Source organism: Homo sapiens, chromosome 3, assembly GCF_000001405.40.
Source record: "Homo sapiens chromosome 3, GRCh38.p14 Primary Assembly".
NCBI lineage: Eukaryota > Metazoa > Chordata > Mammalia > Primates > Hominidae > Homo > Homo sapiens.
In genome coordinates, this window is record NC_000003.12 from 58,852,101 (window position 1) to 58,871,309 (window position 19,209).

General features: G+C 36.2%; 1 protein-coding gene and 1 long non-coding RNA gene across 30 annotated transcripts in view; one reads left to right on the forward strand and one right to left on the reverse strand.

The window, feature by feature from the left end:
* The window catches only part of CFAP20DC (CFAP20 domain containing), a 333,853-nt gene that overhangs the window by 135,928 nt on the left and 178,716 nt on the right, over window positions 1-19,209 (reverse strand). For 23 of the 29 annotated variants that reach the window (XR_001740051.3, XR_007095648.1, XR_001740054.3 and 20 more), the window contains 5 exons: window positions 18,073-18,209; window positions 17,228-17,390; window positions 15,717-15,836; window positions 14,466-14,588; window positions 11,458-11,792 (listed from right to left, as the gene is read on the reverse strand). Coding sequence is in view for 19 of the 29 variants with exons in the window: in NM_198463.4 (NP_940865.1) it covers window positions 11,458-11,792; window positions 14,466-14,588; window positions 15,717-15,836; window positions 17,228-17,390; window positions 18,073-18,209 (878 nt within the window). In the remaining 10 variants the exon portion in view is untranslated. Of the gene's footprint in view, window positions 1-9,127; window positions 11,793-14,465; window positions 14,589-15,716; window positions 15,837-17,227; window positions 17,391-18,061; window positions 18,210-18,454; window positions 18,473-19,209 lie in introns of those variants that run through there. The other 6 variants (XM_047447655.1, XM_005264929.3, XM_047447659.1 and 3 more) reach the window with 5 other exon arrangements.
* CFAP20DC-AS1 (CFAP20DC antisense RNA 1) overlaps window positions 1-19,209 on the forward strand; it is a 194,623-nt gene that overhangs the window by 27,630 nt on the left and 147,784 nt on the right. The window lies entirely within an intron of this gene.

Below are 19,209 nucleotides of genomic sequence, written 5' to 3' on the forward strand. Positions count from 1 at the left end.
TGGGCCACTCCAACCTCTTAGTAGCCATTGCTCTGATTGTGCTTTGTCTTCAGGATCATAGTGGTAAAGCCATGTTTCTTCTCCTGTGACAATTCTTCAAGGAAATGCTTCAGGATCTTGATCCCACTTGTTTAAAATTTCCATTGAAAGCTCTGCTCTTGTCTGCAGGTGATAGTTAGAAGAGCTAACTATCCTAAATATATATGCAACCAATACAGGAGCACCCAGATTCATAAAGCAAGTCCTGAGTGACCTACAAAGAGACTTAGACTCCCACACATTAATAATGAGAGACTTTAACACCCCACTGTCAACATTAGACAGATCAACGAGACAGAAAGTCAACAAGGATACCCAGGAATTGAACTCAGCTCTGCACCAAGCGGACCTAATAGACATCTACAGAACTCTCCACCCCAAATCAACAGAATACACATTTTTTTCAGCACCACACCTATTCCAAAATTGACCACATACTTGGAAGTAAAGCTCTCCTCAGCAAATGTAAAAGAACAGAAATTATAACAAACTATCTCTCAGACCACAGTGCAATCAAACTAGAACTCAGGATTAAGAATCTCACTCAAAACCGCTCAACTACATGGAAACTGAACAACCTGCTCCTGAATGACTACTGGGTACATAACGAAATGAAGGGAGAAATAAAGATGTTCTTTGAAACCAACGAGAACAAAGACACAACATACCAGAATCTCTGGGATGCATTCAAAGCAGTGTGTAGAGGGAAATTTATAGCACTAAATGCCCACAAGAGAAAGCAGGAAAGATCCAAAATTGACACCCTAACATCACAATTAAAAGAACTAGAAAAGCAAGAGTAAACACATACGAAAGCTAGCAGAAGGCAAGAAATAACTAAAATCAGAGCAGAACTCAAGGAAATAGAAACACAAAAAACCCTTCAAAAATTAATGAATCCAGGAGCTGGTTTTTTGAAAGGATCAACAAAATTGATAGACCGCTAGCAAGACTAATAAAGAAGAAAAGAGAGAAGAATCAAATAGACACAATAAGAAATGATGAAGGGGATATCACCACTGATCCCACAGAAATACAAACTACCATCAGAGAATACTACAAACACCTCTACGCAAATAAACTAGAAAATCTAGAAGAAATGGATAAATTTCTCGACACATACACTCTCCCAAGACTAAACCAGGAAGAAGTTGAATCTCTGAATAGACCAATAACAGGCTCTGAAATTGTGGCAATAATCAATAGCTTACCAACCAAAAAGAGTCCAGGACCAGATGGACTCACAGCCGAATTCTACCAGAGGTACAAGGAAGAACTGGTACCATTCCTTCTGAAACTATTCCAATCAATAGAAAAAGAGGGAATCCTCCCTAAATCATTTTATGAGGCCAGCATCATCCTGATACCAAAGCTGGGCAGAGACACAACCAAAAAAGAGAATTTTAGACCAATATCCTTGATGAACATTGATGCAAAAATCCTCAATAAAATACTGGCAAACCGAATCCAGCAGCACATCAAAATGCTTATCCACCATGATCAAGTGGGCTTCATCCCTGGGATGCAAGGCTGGTTCAATATACACAAATCAATAAATGTAATCCAGCACATAAACAGAACCAAAGACAAAAACCACATGATTATCTCAATAGATGCAGAAAAGGCCTTAGACAAAATTCAACAACGCTTCATGCTAAGAACTCTCAATAAATTAGGTATTGATGGGACATATTTCAAAATAATAAGAGCTATCTATGACAAACCCACAGCCAATATCATACTGAATGGGCAAAAACTGGAAGCATTCCCTTTGAAAACTGGCACAAGACAGGGATGCCCTCTCTCACCACTCCTATTCAACATAGTGTTGGAAGTTCTGGCCAGGGCAATGAGGCAGGAGAAGGAAATAAAGGGTATTCAATCAGGAAAAGAGGAAGTCAAATTGTCCCTGTTTGCAGACGACATGATTGTATATCTAGAAAACCCCATTGTCTCAGCCCAAAATCTCCTTAAGCTGATGAACAACTTCAGCAAAGTCTCAGGATACAAAATCAATGTACAAAAATCACAAGCATTCTGATACACCAACAACAGACAAACAGAGAGCCAAATCATGAGTGAACTCCCATTCACAATTGCTTCAAAGAGAAGAAAATACCTAGGAATCCAACTTACAAGGGATGTGAAGGACCTCTTCAAGGAGAACTACAAACCACTGCTCAAGGAAATAAAAGAGGATACAAACAAATGGAAGAACATTCCATGCTCATGGGTAGGAAGAATCAATATCGTGAAAATGGCCATACTGCCCAAGGTAATTTACAGATTCAATGCCATCCCCATCAAGCTACCAATGACTTTCTTCACAGAATTGGAAAAAACTACTTTAAAGTTCATATGGCACCAAAAAAGAGCCCACATTGCCAAGTCAATCCTGAGCCAAAAGAACAAAGCTGGAGGCATCAGGCTACCTGAGTTCAAACTATACTACAAGGCTACAGTAACCAAAACAGCATGGTACTGGTACCAAAACAGAGATATAGATCAATGGAACAGAATAGAGCCCTCAGAAATAATGCCACATATCTACAACTATCTGATCTTTGACAAACCTGAGAAAAACAAGCAATGGGGAAAGGATTCTCTATTTAATAAATGGTGCTGGGAAAACTGGCTAGCCATATGTAGAAAGCTGAAACTGGATCCCTTCCTTACACCTTATACAAAAATCAATTCAAGATGGATTAAAGACTTAAACGTTAGACCTAAAACCATAAAAACCCTAGAAGAAAACCTAGGCATTACCATTCAGGACATAGGCATGGGCAAGGACTTCATGTCTAAAACACCAAAAGCAATGGCAACAAAAGCCAAAATTGACAAATGGGATCTAATTAAACTAAAGAGCTTCTGCACAGCAAAAGAAACTACCATCAGAGTGAACAGGCAACCTACAAAATGGGAGAAAATTTTCGCAACCTACTCATCTGACAAAGGGCTAATATCCAGAATCTACAATGAACTCAAACAAATTTACCAGAAAAAAACAAACAACCCCATCAAAAAGTGGGTGAAGGACATGAACAGACACTTCTCAAAAGAAGACATTAATGCAGCCAAAAAACACATGAAAAAATGCTCACCATCACTGGCCATCAGAGAAATGCAACTCAGAACCACAATGAGATACCATCTCACCCCAGTTAGAATGGCGATCATTAAAAAGTCAGGAAACAACAGGTGCTGGAGAGGATGTGGAGAAATAGGAACACTTTTACACTGTTGCTGGGACTGTAAACTAGTTCAACCACTGTGGAAGTCAGTGTGGCGATTCCTCAGGGATCTAGAACTAGAAATACCATTTGACCCAGCCATCCCATTACTGGGTATATACCCAAAGGACTATAAATCATGCTGCTATAAAGACACGTGCACACATGTTTATTGCGGCATTATTCACAATAGCAAAGACTTGGAACCAACCCAAATGTCCAACAATGATAGAATGGATTAAGAAAATGTGGCACAGATACACCATGGAATACTATGCAGCCATAAAAAATGATGAGTTCATGTCCTTTGTAGGGACATGGATGAAATTGGAAATCATCATTCTCAGTAAACTATCACAAGAAGAAAAAACTAAACACCACATATTCTCACTCATAGGTGGGAAATGAACAATGAGAACACATGGACACAGAAAGGGGAACATCACAGTCTGGGGACTATTGTGGGGTGGGGGGAGGGGGGAGGGATAGCATTGGGAGATATACCTAATGCTAGATGATGAGTTAGTGGGTGCAGCGCACCAGCATGGCACATGTATACATATGTAACTAACCTGCACAATGTGCACATGTACCCTAAAACTTAAAGTATAATAAAAAAAAATAAAAAAAAGAAAGAAAAAAAGGAATGACTGTAGGAAAAAAAACTTCAAAATAAAGTAGAGATTTTCCAGTTAAAAATATAATACTGAAATAGCTAAAGGAGTAAATTAAAATAATCAATAATACTAAAAAAAAACCCCTCTCCTAACAAATAGTGTACCTCCAGTACACTAAGGATGAGAACTGCATTGTTAAGGATCTTTTATAAATATTTCTTCTTGGTATTCATCCTGGGCATACATTGTCTTTGTCTACACTAGCTTCATCTTCTGACACACACACACACACACACACACACACACACACACACACACACACACATAACTGATGGAGATACTTATCTTTCAGTGTTCCAGATAGGGTAAAGAAAAGATGTTTCTTTAAGATTGGGTGCCAATCTGTGGGCCGTTACTTTGTGGCCCAAGTGAAAAAATAAGACAGGCGAAAATATTTTTGCAAATGTAACAATCCCTGCATGACCTCAGCTGCAGGCACTGGGCAACCCTCTCTGCTGTAGGCCACTTATGGGGTGAGCTTGTCCTTCCCCACCAGTCTGGGCACCCTAGGATGTTCATATGGTTGAAGAACTCTGCCTTCAGGCAGAAAACTCGAAAGACTGTCAGAGCTATCTGAAAAAATGCCCAGTGTTCTAAATCACTAGGTAATAGAGTGGTGACTCTTGCAATTTTTTTTTCATAGAGATAAAGAATAAAAGCTTAGTCTTTGTCTAGAGAAGATGGTAAACAAAAAATAGAGTAAACATTCCCCAAGTCCTAGTTCTAAGATGGTATTGGTAGAACTAGCATAGATGTTTTTTAATTTAGTCTGGTAGCGAGACAGGGCTATCTTTTCTCTAATTTTTTAAAATATTGCAGTTTATTTTCCTGTAATTGTCATACACAATTGGCAGTGGGATTTCTGTGATCAAAAGATCCTCTACTCATTCATTTCCATCATAAAAAATGAAGACTTGTTATTCTGTATATGACGTAGGTAGAAACTGGAGGTGTTTTCAGTAAACATTAATGCAATAGATGTTTATTAAGCTCCTACTCTGTGTGAGGCAATTTCTAGACACTATACAAGATACACAGGTAAGGACAGGGCCACTCCTTCAAGACATATAAAGTCTAACAGAGAAATGATACCTAAAAAGTGATAACATCATAAGGTAGAAGATAGTAAATGTCATTTTAGGAATTTCAGATGTACTATTTTGGGAATTTAGAGGGCTGCATGGAAAACTAGATGTTTGTCACATCATTCAGAAAACACCTTAAAATCAATGCATTTGGTAAGAAGTGTATTTTTCCACCTGTGATGGGTCAGAGTACAGCCTTTTCTTCCTTCTAGCAGTTTACTCAGGTGGAAAGCATTTCTCTTTGCTTGGCATGAGCAGTTGATTATATACATAGACATATTCATGAGTATGTACATGGACATTCATCTTACATTTTTCCTAAGGAATACTCTGGTTTGGAGATCAGCCGAGAAGCAGATGGATTTAGCTGTGTACCCTGATGAGCATTCTCCTGGTTGCACTGCATTTCCACAGTAATACATTTCCATGCTATTTTAAATATATGGAAAGAATAAATAACTGGAGAATCTGGACAGGGTACAAAGGCTTGTTTGCCTTGGCTGCCCTAGAACTGCTAATTCTGGTTTCAGATTCTGAAAGAGAAACTGGGATGAATGAGAAAGGCAAGATGACATAGGAGACTATATTTGAGTAGTGTTCTAATTTGCATTGGGTCAGCTTCTCATTTAGAGAAGAAATAAATGGAGAATTAAAAAAAGTACAGTATTTATTAGGAGTGGGTGCACTGGCATAACCCTATTCCTCTCTTTGCATTGTTATGAGAAGAAGAGGCATGCTTTTGCCTCTTTAATAAGGTAGAGATGATGTTTATTGATTTCACGTATGTAATTCATTTGGGCTCAACATGTTCTGGGATGAATTTTTTTCTATATAACATATAAATTTATTATGTGCATGAGAAGTTAGTGTATCATGACCTGGTTGAAAAATAACCACCTTTCTCCTTTTAGTTTATCATTTAGCTACTGAAAACCTGTACAGCAATTGAATATAATTTGTCAGAGTAGCAAAGAAGTTGTCATGCCATTTTCACATTCCAATCATTTGTTCATCTGTTTCTCAGAAGAACAAATACAAAATGCTTTTGATTTAACTTAATATGTTTTTTTAAAGTCCCAAATCTCTTGAACCGTTTGTCTTCTGGGCTCAGAAACATTTGTTTGTTAAATATTCAGTCACGCCCCAGTGCCAGGAACATCAATAGAGTTTGCCTGATTAACTGTAGCACAGCATATGTATGCCGAAGATGAGAATGATTTCCCCAAGGAGCCAGCACTTCCTCTGCTGAACTACATTTCTTAAAAGGACATGCAGATGGGCATTTAGACAATAATTTCTGGCTACACAAAATGGATTGCTCTTGCTGAGTTGTAATTTTAAACAGATAATTTTAATGACTCTTGAGGGCCACCTACTTGGAGCAGATGGGACCCAGGCTCTTTGTACCACAACTTTAATGTTGAGTGAATCAGAATAGAACTCTATTTAGCCTTTGTAAAAGTGGATGATAATATTTATTCATATTTCAATGGAGTTTTAAATTCAATCCACCATGAAAAAAATCTTATGTAAAAGTCTTAAAAATTCTGTAAAAAAACACATCTGCAATATTCAAAATACACTTTTGATGGTAGTTTTGAATTTGTAATTGAGATTGAGTCAACAGGAGTTTTTAGTTTTGTCCATCATGTTAGTAACTAAGTGTGTGGATTGACAGCACCTTTTAGTTGAACATCAGCACTAGCAAACAACAGAGCTAGTATATGTATACTTCTGTTGTTGACTAAAGAGCACAGTTATTTGCACAAATTCAGCTAAAGACAGTCCTAACAGAATGAAAAAAATAATTTCTTCTTTGATGATAACAAGACTGGCAATTCAAATGTATCTTAAAAGTTTTCATAACAACCATCCCAAGAAGTACTTGTGCTTCTACTTGAATTTTGTAGCAAATGATGAAAGTAATACAATTTCCTCTGGGTGACAAAGATAAGTGATAGTTGTGTCTTATAATACATTTTACGAGTTTGTAAACAAATAAAATAAAAGGAAGATACCACAGTTTTAAACAAGTAACTAACCTGCAGCATGCCTGATATTAAAAAGGTTTGGCCAAATTACTTTCATGACATCTTTACCTATAGCAAATGATACTTTACAGACAAATCATAGCATAAGTTACAGGTACTGTGTGGGAAGGGCACAATCATCATATGAATATTTTGGCAAAGTGATTAGGCTTTTCTAATTTTTCAAGGCAAAACATATTTTTCTATAAGTTAGACTTCATGTTCTTTTAACTGACAACACTTTAAAGATTTCTTGTGAAAACTATCTACAAGCAAATGCTTATCTGCAAGATGTCTATCATTTAGCAAAAATGGTAGAATATTAGATTGCAAATAGACAAGCATTTTGTAACTTTCTTCATCTGCCTATAACAATACAAAGCCAAGTCACAAGGACCAAGAGACCTGTGACTTTTTCAGAGAAGAGCTTCAATAGATAATAATAAAGACATGTAGATGTGAACAGCCTAAAAAGATTACTCATACTGAGTAAACATTAATTTGCCTGGTAGGTATACAGAATATGTTATGTTCTAATTCATAATACATAGGAATAAAAATGCAAGGCAGTATATTCAAAATAGAGTCTTTTCATTTTTTCCCAACACATAAACTAAATTTAAAAGTATCTGAAGGCTACATAGAAATATAAGAAGACTACTGTCAACTAAATATTCCTTTCCACCGTGTGTATGTAAGTGTGTGTGAGAAAGCAATTAAAAATCATTACTTGGCCAGGCGCGATGGCTCATGCCTGTAATCCCAGCACTTTCGGAAGCCGAGGCAGGCAGATCACGAGGTCAGGAGATCGAGACCATCCTGGCCAACATGGTGAAACCCCGTCTCTACTAAAAATACAAAAATTAGCCAGGCGTGGTGGTGTGTACCTGTAATCCCAGCTACTTGGGAGGCTTAAGCAGGAGAATTGCTTGAACCAGGGAGTCGGAGGTTGCAATGAGCAGAGATCCCACCACTGCACTCCAGCCTGGCTACAGGGCAAAACTCCATCTCAAAAAAAAAAAAAAAAAAAGAAAGAAAAAAGAAAAAAAAATCATTACTCAAGTATGTAGGGGTGAGTGTTTATAGTATAATCCAGAAATATATGCTAACAAAAAGTATTTAAAATGAAATAGCTTAACTACTGACTGCTAAAAAAAACTCTTGAAAGCAATGACAAGAAAGCTGGGAGGGTGGACGAAAATGGTCATTTTAATCTGCTGTTTGTATATTTATCCTTTGCAGGCTTCCATAGAGTTAGAAGGAGAGAAGATACAAAAGCCTTCCGGCTAATCTGAACACTACAGGTAGTCAGTCCACATAATTCATGTCCAAATATGAATAAATTCGGGGGTCCAAATGTTCCAATTTGGACTGTTACACAAGACAAATTACTTGGCCTTGCAAATATCTGCTTCAATATGTGATACACAACCAGAATTCAGGGAAAAAATGGTAGTATTTCTAGGTGAAAACTTGAATTAGGGGAATAATAAAATATTAACATAAGGCTAATGATTTCAAGCTGCAAAACCAGGTGTATACACTAGAAGCCACGATGGGAATAATAACATAAAATACAAAATAGAGACAATAACAGTTGCATGCTTTCGTTTCTTTCAGATGTTGCAATAATATGAAAAGCACTCTATTTTAATAGCTTTCCTAAAAAATTCATTTTACATGGTAGTCTTGATTTTATAGCTCACTAGGAAATATTGTTTCTGTAGTATATTTTTCAAATAAGAACAACTTCAAAATTAATAGAGTACCAGAAATATTAGTATATATGGCTGCCTACGGAATAAAATATATGATAAAGCAAAGAGTAAGGTAAGGTTATATGCAAAAAATTCATACTTTTGAGGCTCCAACACTAAGATCTCAGATGTGAATTAATGATTAGCAACTTCAATTACAATGACAATGTATTGCTGAAAGCTAATTTTAATTAGCTTTTACTGTTGTATGGGTACTTGTCTTCTATCCTAATAATATGATTTGATTTTGCCTAGTTTATATGTTACTAAATACATCTCATTTTCCTTTAAAAATACTCAATGGGCTAACATCAAATAAAGTCTTTTAATTACACTTTATAAACTTCAAGCATAATAATATAATTGTTATTCACTTGTCCACCATTATTTACAACTTGACATTATGTTTTCCTGAAGTATAATTATACAAAGATAAGGATGTAACATTCTAAAATAATGCAATTAATAGTAAGGATGCCTTAATTAACTAAACTGATTTTTCTTCAAAGACTATATGTAAATAAACATTGTAAATATGTAGCCTAATTTCCCATTGATTTATACAATTAATAAATAGAAGAAGCTATCCTACAGGAAAAGAAATTACCAAAAGTACAAAAGAAAAAATCCAATTTTGTTAAGAAGGTATCATTACACATGCTAAAACTTGTTTAAATATAGCCTAGCATTTTTGTTGGTCCTATTTTTGTATCTTAGCTTGTATCTCGTTAGTCTCTGTACCAGCAAACCCCAAAGCTTGATAATGTGGCAGGTGTTTCCCCTCTCTCTGGCTGCCACTCTTAGTAGGCTCTGATTAAAGGGTGGTGAGTGCCAGTGTTGGCAATGGGATGGTCTCACCACAGACTCTAGCCGTATGCTACTGGTCACCTTGATGGGCATGGCACAGGGGTGACCAGATAGCCCTGCCAGTGAAAGCTTGGGTAATGCATGATAAATTTGTTTTCAATTTTATGTAGTTGGTAACAAATACACATCTGCATAATAAACGTTGAAGGATGTCAGAGGCAGAGTAGCTACAGCAAAAGAAAGCATTAAGTGATATCAAATTAAAATATTCAGAGCTAGTATTCTTCATTTTCCCATGAAGCTCTACTGTTTCTTCTAAAGGCTTAGCCTTCCTATAGATGGAAGAGGTAAGTTCTTCATGTGGTGTATTTAAAGGGCAGATTATCCATAATACTTCTCTCATAGTTTTCCAGAGAACTACCATTTCCCACCTACCATGAAATGCCCACTATTAGAGTAATGCTTTTGCATTAGTAAGAGAGATTGTGCTGTGCATATGGGAAGGGGATGAGTCTATTCTATTCATAAAATGAACTGAATTAATCAGCCAGTTTAGACCATGGAAGGATTATCAGCTGGGATGAGGACACTATTAGGTGCTGAAGACAAATGTCCATGTTTTTATAGCTTTATGTTATTAAAGGTGAAAGGAACAAATGTGTCCAGCAGCAACACTTAAAATGCTAGCATCAAATGCACTATTTATGTATAAAAGGATTTGCAGTAGGTTATGTTTGGTATGACTAATTGTTTCATGACACTCAGAAGCAAGAATATTGTGAAAAGACGATCCTCTACGCGCTTTGCTGAAGAAACTCATTAAAAGTTGAAAAAACCCAGAATTACTGCTTAAACAATCCCACTATATTCTCAACTGCCTCCGAAGGTTGGTGCTATGGACTTAATCTGTGCCTCACTGTCCAAAAAGGATTCTTAATCAGTTACGTTATAAAAATATTTTGTGGGCACATATAAAAAGGTTTTCTAGTTATTTCTATAATTTCTATATAGAAAAGCTTTGTACATTTTCACTAACCCTAAAGTTGTTCGTATTCTGCTTTTAGAATAAATTTTTCCAGAAAGTATGAATGACCATCGTTAAAAATAATGCTGAAGAAAATCCACGACTAAATGCACTTCCTATGGGGAAAAAGTTATCAATGTATTAGGTTTTAAACAAATATTTCCAAATTATATTCAGTTTGATTTGAAACATTTTAAAACTTTTTACGAATTTGCTAATTTATAGGATATATCCATATTCTAAATAATTGCAAACAGAAAATCTCCTGTAAGGCAAGTCCCAGCACTAATCCACGACTCATTATCTAAACTTTAATTGGCACAACTCTTCAAATTCTGGGACCATATGGAAAATAATGAGTCCTAATAGGTCTAAGGTGAAAAGATGGCAGGGGAGTAAGGAAGCCAGAAAACCATCAATTTAGAATGCTTAGCAACTGCAACACAATTTCTCCAGAGATCTAGAACAGTATATTCTCAGTGTTTTACTGGTCTTGCTATCATAGCACTAAACTGCATATCGTTTCTCATCCTGTGATTCAAAGATTAAAATGAAAAAACAGAAAGAAACCCAAAACTGGTTTCTATAAGTAAAAGTGAAATTGGCTGACTGTTAATTAAAAAAAAAAAAAGACAGTTTAAAGTTACCATAACAACCTGATGCAACTGTGGACTGACATGGCAATCTGTTGCATTTTTATAAATAGCAGTTGATTTTCCCTCTTTCATTTCAACTTGTTTTAGTGCTTATTGGAGCTAAGGAAACAACTGTGCTTCAAGACTACTTCACTTATCAAGCAGTGTACCTCTTCACTGCTGTCGCCGCCGTAAAAATCATCCTCTGATTGGGTGTCTCTGCTTGTCACACTGTTATCCTCTTTTAGATCCAAAATAAATGAGAGCTCCTCTGGGGACATAGTCTGAGTCTTTCCATGAGGTGCTGATCGTGGTCTTGATGAAAAAGTGAAAATGTCCTTTGGAACACTCTGGGATTCCTCTGCCTGCTGGTCGTGTTCACTCTCTTTGCTGGCTTCCAGCCACAGGTGTGATGGGTTGCAGGAGTCATCACCCAGAAGTAGAGACTGTCTGCTGGATGCCAGATATGAAATGTGATCAGCATTTTCAGGAAAAATCCACTCATCTGACAGTTGGAAAAGATGACAAAAATTAGAGCAGTAATCCATAAAAGTGTTATTTTTATTTATTTATTTTTAGTTTTAGTTTTTGAGACAGTCTCACTCTGCCGCCTAGGCTGCAGTGCAGTCACGCGATCTCGGCTCACTGCAACCTCCGCCTCCCAACCTTCAAGTGATTCTCCTGCCTGAGCCTCCTGAGTAGGTGGGATTACAGGTGCACGCCATCATGCCCGGCTAATTTTTGTATTTTTAGTAGAGATGGGGTTTCACCATGTTGGTCAGGCTGGTCTTGAACTCCTGACTTCATGATCTGCCCGCCTCGGCCTCCCAAAAAGCTGGGATTACAGGCATGAGCCACCGCGCCTGGCCAAAAGTGTTATTTTAGGCAGGTAGTTAGGCTAAAATTTCTTGTTGTTGAAACAGATTTATCAAATAACGCAAAGCAAAGGAAGGCAATTTATAGACCATCTTGTAACCTGCTAAACACTCAACCCATACATCAGTGCCTATAGCTATGGGCAACTCATTTGCACTTCCTCTCCATTTGAGTTGAAACACTGACCAGGAAATTTGTAAGTCTGAAATAATTATCACCTGTCTTGCAGCAAGTTCTTTACAGGACAACCTTATTAATTTGACATTCCAGAGGGGGAAAGTCTTCCAAATTTAAAAGGGGTTGAGTTACTAATATCTCCTTTTAACTGCAGGAGGACAGAGTACTTAACCAGCTTCTTTAAAAAAATATCTGGTCTTAATTCAGATTACAAATCATGGAGGAGAGGAAGCCATGACAAGGTTGGCAGTCATTTCCTCTCTATTCTACTGATTCAAACAGGACAATTCACAGACTAAACCAAGCAGACTTTTCAAGTAATAGTAAATTCACAGAAATATTTGCTAATCCAAGCAGTGGATTCTGCTGGGTGAAAAAGGTCTTTAAGTTTACAAGAGACAATGTTTTGATATAAAAACCTTTTAGCACATTATTGTTTTCTTTAAAATACCATACACTACAGGGAAATATATATTTTTTCAAAACTTTTAAAGACTTCAATCTTTCATATCACATTGAGATAGAGTTTATAGCTCTATGATCCTGATGAATTGAAAAAGACAGATCTTTATAATGATATCGTTGAAAGCATGCTTTCTTCTTTAGAATGACAGTAGGAAAAAGGTGAGCATTTTCTCAATGTAGTCTTTTTTTTTTAAATTTGCTTTTTTTTTTTTTGCAGCTTATTTCATTGGTAAAATCTTGCAGAATCACAGTGTGGACATGGTAATTTTACACCTGATTCTTGAATCATATTATATTTATGATCACAATAAAAGTAACCAAGAGAGATCTAAGATTTGCAACTCTAAAGCCTACAATGCAAAAGCAAAAGCAAAAGAACCCATAAAAATCTTTAATAAAAATAACTTTGATGGTACAAATAAAACACAATTGCCTTTATCTGTTTCTTAACTTACGGCTACCATTACATAACATAACTTACCTGTAAAAAGGGTGATCAATGTATACTTCCTAGAGAAAACCTACTAGGGACAAGGCTTTCATATATTGAGGGACATGAGTCTGTAGGCATATGGCCAATGGCAGGCTGAGTCTAGTTCTTCTGACCACCTTCACAGAGGGGTGCAGGGGCATATGGTCCTGAGTCACTGTAGCTTTGGGCCAGTGAACTCAACGGATTCACTGGGCTCCCCTATTTTGGACAGCAAACCCTTTTGCATGGTGCTGGGTACATGACAGTGCTTTGTAAGCAAATTAGGTGCTTTACAAATGCTGAGAAATGTTACAAAAGTCAATAGGTTGCATTATGTATATGGATATGTGAAGAAAACAGAGGAAAATATACTGAGAATCTTCATTATGCACTTAAACAATTTGTATGACCTATTGCCAAACATATTATCAACTGTCAAAAAGTCAAAGTAAAAGGAGTGTTTTACACCAAACTAACTCTAATTATCTCACTGCCACATGCTTTTTATGGAATTTGCAGTTTTACCTCAAGTATTTCCATATCAATTGTAATGAATAATTTGGTGTGTTTTCTTAGAAAAATATGTAAATTACTGTGTAATCACAATATTGCAGCAAACAAGATAAATGCAAGAATGATCACCTAAACATCTAATTAGTTTTTCCACACAGTCAGATTTATGCTAGAGACACTAATTGCACCTAACATTTTAATGAAGGTTTCAACGTTGCATAAATAAGATTGACAAACCACAAACAATTTTCATTTATTTTCTTTTTTCCCTTGCTCAAAAACAATTTGCCTTTGTAAAAGTAGCACACACCTGCTAGGCAAGATATGTTGATGGGCTCAATGCTCTCAGCTCCAACCATCTCCATTATAAAGAGGACTGGAGAAACCCAACAACTGGTCATCTTTGGGGAGGGTGACCATGCCATGGGAAAATGTCAGTTTTAAACTTTCATTCTGAACAGGATGACCAGTGCATTAAAACTTGAAAATAAAAAAATACTCTTTCATCCATTAAAGTTTGACATAAAATTGAGGTTAAATAAGAAGATTTACACAAACTTACACATTTTAGCAAATCGGCTGCATCACCACTTTTCAAAATGACTGGATTTGAAATATTTACCATATTTACATTTTATTCATTATTAACAGATATGGTGTAATAAAGATGCCAACCTGATTGATCAGGAGACTGGGGTCCTAGAGTGCCGGAGTTCAACAGCTCTGCTCCTTGTTGGGACACAGTGGTGAGGATAGTTGATGCTTTATCTTCAATCCTATTATTTCCTGAAGAGCTACCTTTATTGAGATAAATATTTTCCCTCTATTACTTCTTTTGAAATTTATAAAAAGTAATTTTAGAAGAATGGTTTACTTTGGTATACTTTACTATTTGATCATTTAAAAGCAAATTAGAGGTAACAATATGAATTACATGCAGTTTTTTTTTTCAGTAGACTGTTTTAAGCTGCATTTTTATAGAGGTTCACCTTAAAATTCTTTGATACTTACACAGGGATATTTTAGATTAAAGTTTTGCAATATGTGATAAAAAGAATGCCAAAACCCATAAAATTTTTAAAGGATCTTATATTTTTTCCCTTGGGTTCCACATGAAATGAAGTGAGTTTTCTTTAAATTATAATTCTTACTAAATGGGACTCTTTTTGGCCAAGCTTTTTTCATCAGCATGTTAAGAAAATGGATCTTAAGGCATTATTGCAAAATTAATTTTTCTATCTACTCTTTTATAAAAAGCATGAAACCTAGCAGGCTAAATTTCAGCCAACCCAGGAATCTTACATTTTTGAGAAATTAGGCTAACAGATGTGTACATGATACACTGGGTGGGATTCAGGATAGACTGATATATGTGTATACTAATCTACATATACATGCCTCGAATCCAATATTTAAGGGAATAACTATAATGGCCACGTATTTGTCTAATGCTTTACCAGTTGCAAAGAGTTTAAATTTTAACCTAGAGTATAACATATGGTGAATAATCCAAAGGGAGAGACAGCAAATATAAACAACAATCTGAAAAGAGCTCAATTTAAAAAGACACAAATGAAACATAAAAATTACAATAAAGTTCCATTTTAGTAAAGTCTGCTAGTGGGAACTTCTATCACATTTGGGCCATTTTTTTCAAAAACAATAATTTAAGCTTATTCAGTCTTTGAGAGTAAAAGTAGGAATTCCTTTATTTCTGTGGTACTGTCTATTTAATCCAGCAAATCTCCATTAGGGATCTAGAGCAATTCTTTTGCAGAAAATTTGATTTCCATAATCCTTGTAGAACAGACATTTATATTTTAAATGGATTGGTTCATAATCCTTTGAAATTTACAACCTGCAGAGAGAGATTCGATTGCCCTGAATAATATACAGATATAAGATAGGATTGAAATAGTGCCATACCGCTGGGTGTCTCTGTCCTTTCTCTGCTGGTACTTTTTAACCGTAATCTTCTTCTGTTATTATTCTTATCTGCTGATGGTTCTTGAGGGGGATGCGGATGCATAATATGTAGATTGGCTGCTACATTTTCATATCAAAGCACAAAAGCCAGAACAGAAAGTGCTATATGGCTTGAAGTAACTCAGTAAATATAATTATCACTATAATGAGAATATTCATGTATAATTTTGACATAATGTGAAGATACATCAAAAATACAACTTCATAGAAAATAGGCATTTATTCCTATTCCGATATTGGGATCCTATCAGGCTTTCAAAATTACTGAAACACTTTATTCATGTAATATAACCTTATAGAGGGCTAAAGTAATTTGACTAATGTTAATCATACAACATGGCATATTAAAAAACATTACAAAATGAAACTGACAGCCAACACAGAAAAATTACTTCTTCCTTTAAAAGAGGAAGTGTCGATAACTATACTTTCAACAAGAGCATAGAGAGCAGCTTCCAAAAGAGCCCTGGAGAACTGAGGTCAAGCTGAAGAAGAACTTCTAAGTACGATTTAATTTAGCAATAATAATAATCATAGCAGCATTTAACATTTCCTGAATGCTTAATTTCTTGGTGCAATATGATACACTTAACTGGCTTTTCCCCTGAATCCTCACAATGACCCTTTGAGGCACCTGTTATTTATTATTAGTATTAGTGCCAGTAGTAATGCCATTCCCATTTTACAGAGGAGAAAACTAAGGTTCACAGCGTTTAAGAAACTTGATCAAGGCCTCACTGACAGGCAGCTAGGGCTGGATTTCTATCTATCCATTTCCTTATTTCAGTTTCATACTCCACGAGGGAAATTTTCTGTGACAGTGATCATTAATTTGTAAATAATATAAAATGAACTTAAATGTCCTCCCTTTTCAACTCTCAGTAAAGTCAGATCAGTAAGGGTAGAAAAAGTGACAGGGAATTCTAAGTCTTGGGTTCTGGTCTAAATTATTTCTAAAGGTTACAAACTGCAAATCACTTTACCTCTTTGCTTGACTTTAAATCTCTATCTGTAAAATGGAACAAAAATCCTTTTTCACTTACAGGGTTTATTTTATTTTTGTTGTTGGATCAGTGAGAGAAAAGAAAGAGTACCTTACAAATGGAAGAGATTAATTAAAAGATAATATTAAGCTAAGAACACTTAAAATGCACATGGCATTTCCAAAATACAGTGATAATGGAATGCTATTTTATTTCTACATCAGTTGCCATAAAATAAAACACAGGGTATTATAGCAATTTGAAATAATGGAGAAAACAGAATGATAGATTTCAGAAGCTAATATAAGAATTTCAAATATATTTCAAAATCAACCACCCTTTTCATTATTAAATGACAATTCTCTAGACTTAAGATCTAGACTTGAATATAACTGCTGATTTATCTTAACAAGAACATTTCTCACTATTTTCACTAGCTATCAATCTTTATGCATGATTATTTCTTACCATGAATAGGTACAGTCTGCTTTATTTGGTGAATATTTTCTTTATTTCCTTGTTCCTCAGACTCAGGTATCAGCAAGGCTGACATTTCTGTACCATTAACACACTTCTCTACAGTGGACGGCTGGCATGATCGGTTATTTTTGGACCCAACGGATCTCACTGTCTGTAAAGGAATTAATCTGTACATTTTAAAATATAGCAACTACATTTGTTTTCTGTAGAAGCTATATAGAAAACATAATATTTGGACCAATGAAGAGTGAGAAAAAAACTAGAGGAAATGAGGTTAAGATGTGAAGAAAAAGGAAATTATTATAGGAAATTAGAAATGGAAGGAGAAAAATAACGAGATAAAATAGAAGACATGCAAGTCTCCTAGACACATAAATTAAAATGTGCTTATTTGCTACACTCCATCTTCAGTAGGTAGAAGCCGAATTAAAAATCACGCGTATGTCAGAAATTCGGAGGAAATTAAAAATAAAAAACCTAACATTTGAGAATCTGTTCATCCTAAGGTGTCTGGTTATGATCCAACTCCTCTGAAAGAGACAGCAAAATGTGCTCACTTATATTTGCCTTTAAATTTTGTGAACATATTTAATGAAAAGAATACTCGAAAATGTTAATTATGTTGATATGACAAAAAGGAAACACTTTTGAAGTCTTTTAAAATCCAGAATTTCTGTTCCAAATTTATTCAAGCCTTCTGCTTTTGGCATGTAGTGTCTGTCTGTCTGTCTGTCTGTCTGTCTTTCCCTCCCTCCCTCCCTCTACAAGGGGAAGACACTCTTCCCTTACCAGGTCACTTGTGCTTAGATAAGCTCTCCAAACCTTGCTCCTACCTCGCTGGATATCTTCATGTTATTCCTTCTGCCAGAGAGTGGAGGTGGCCCAAGAACTTTGGATCCAAATGCGATATGACAAACATCTTGATTTTTACTGTTCCGTGTAATACTTGTTCCTCTGTTAATGAACTGATCTGTTTTGTTAAAGGAAGGTAATAATAGTCCATTAATGGGTGTAATGACAAACATCACACTGCAATCTTTCTAAAAATCCAGTCCAGGTGCCATAGGATCCAAATCCCCCCTCCCCCCTCAGCATGTATTAAAAACACAGATACTAGGGCCCAACATCAGAGATACATACAAGACGTATAGAATTAGGATCTCGGCAGTATCACAGTACTTTTAATAAGTCCCCCCAAGTAATTTTTATACTCACCATCATTTGAGAACCACCACCACAAAGTTTTTCTTTAAAAAAAAAAAGAAAGGGCCGGGCGCGGTGGCTCACGCCTGTAATCCCAGCACTTTGGGAGGCCGAGGCGGGTGGATCATGAGGTCAGGAGATCGAGACCATCCTGGCTAACAAGGTGAAACCCCGTCTCTACTAAAAATACAAAAAATTAGCCAGGCGCGGTGGCGGGCGCCTGTAGTCCCAGCTACTCGGGAGGCTGAGGCAGGAGAATGGCGTGAACCCGGGAAGCGGAGCTTGCAGTGAGCCGAGATTGCGCCACTGCAGTCCGCAGTCCGGCCTGGGCGACAGAGCGAGACTCCGTCTCAAAAAAAAAAAAAAAAAAAAAAAAAAAAAAGAAAAAAGGAAAAGCTACTAAAAAATACATCTTATTTTCTCTTTAAGGAAATAATTTAAATATAATTATTCAACTCAACCTAACAAATATTTAACTGAGTACTCTCTCAGGCATTTCCTAGAGGCCGTCAGTGACACAAAATGGAGAATGGAGAGGCGGATAAGACCAGTAAACAGGTCACCAATGTAAGGCAGGCCAGTGGCAATGAAGAATAAGTGACCCCTTCATGGACCCTGAATGATGGATACAATTTCAAGAATAAGAGATGTAGGATGCCCTAGGCAGAAGAAAGTACCAGAGTAAAGGCATGGAAGAAGGGAAGGGCAGGGTGTACCTGGGAGTCAGGAAGTGGCTGGTTTAGCTGGAAGGAGAGGCTAGGGTCATA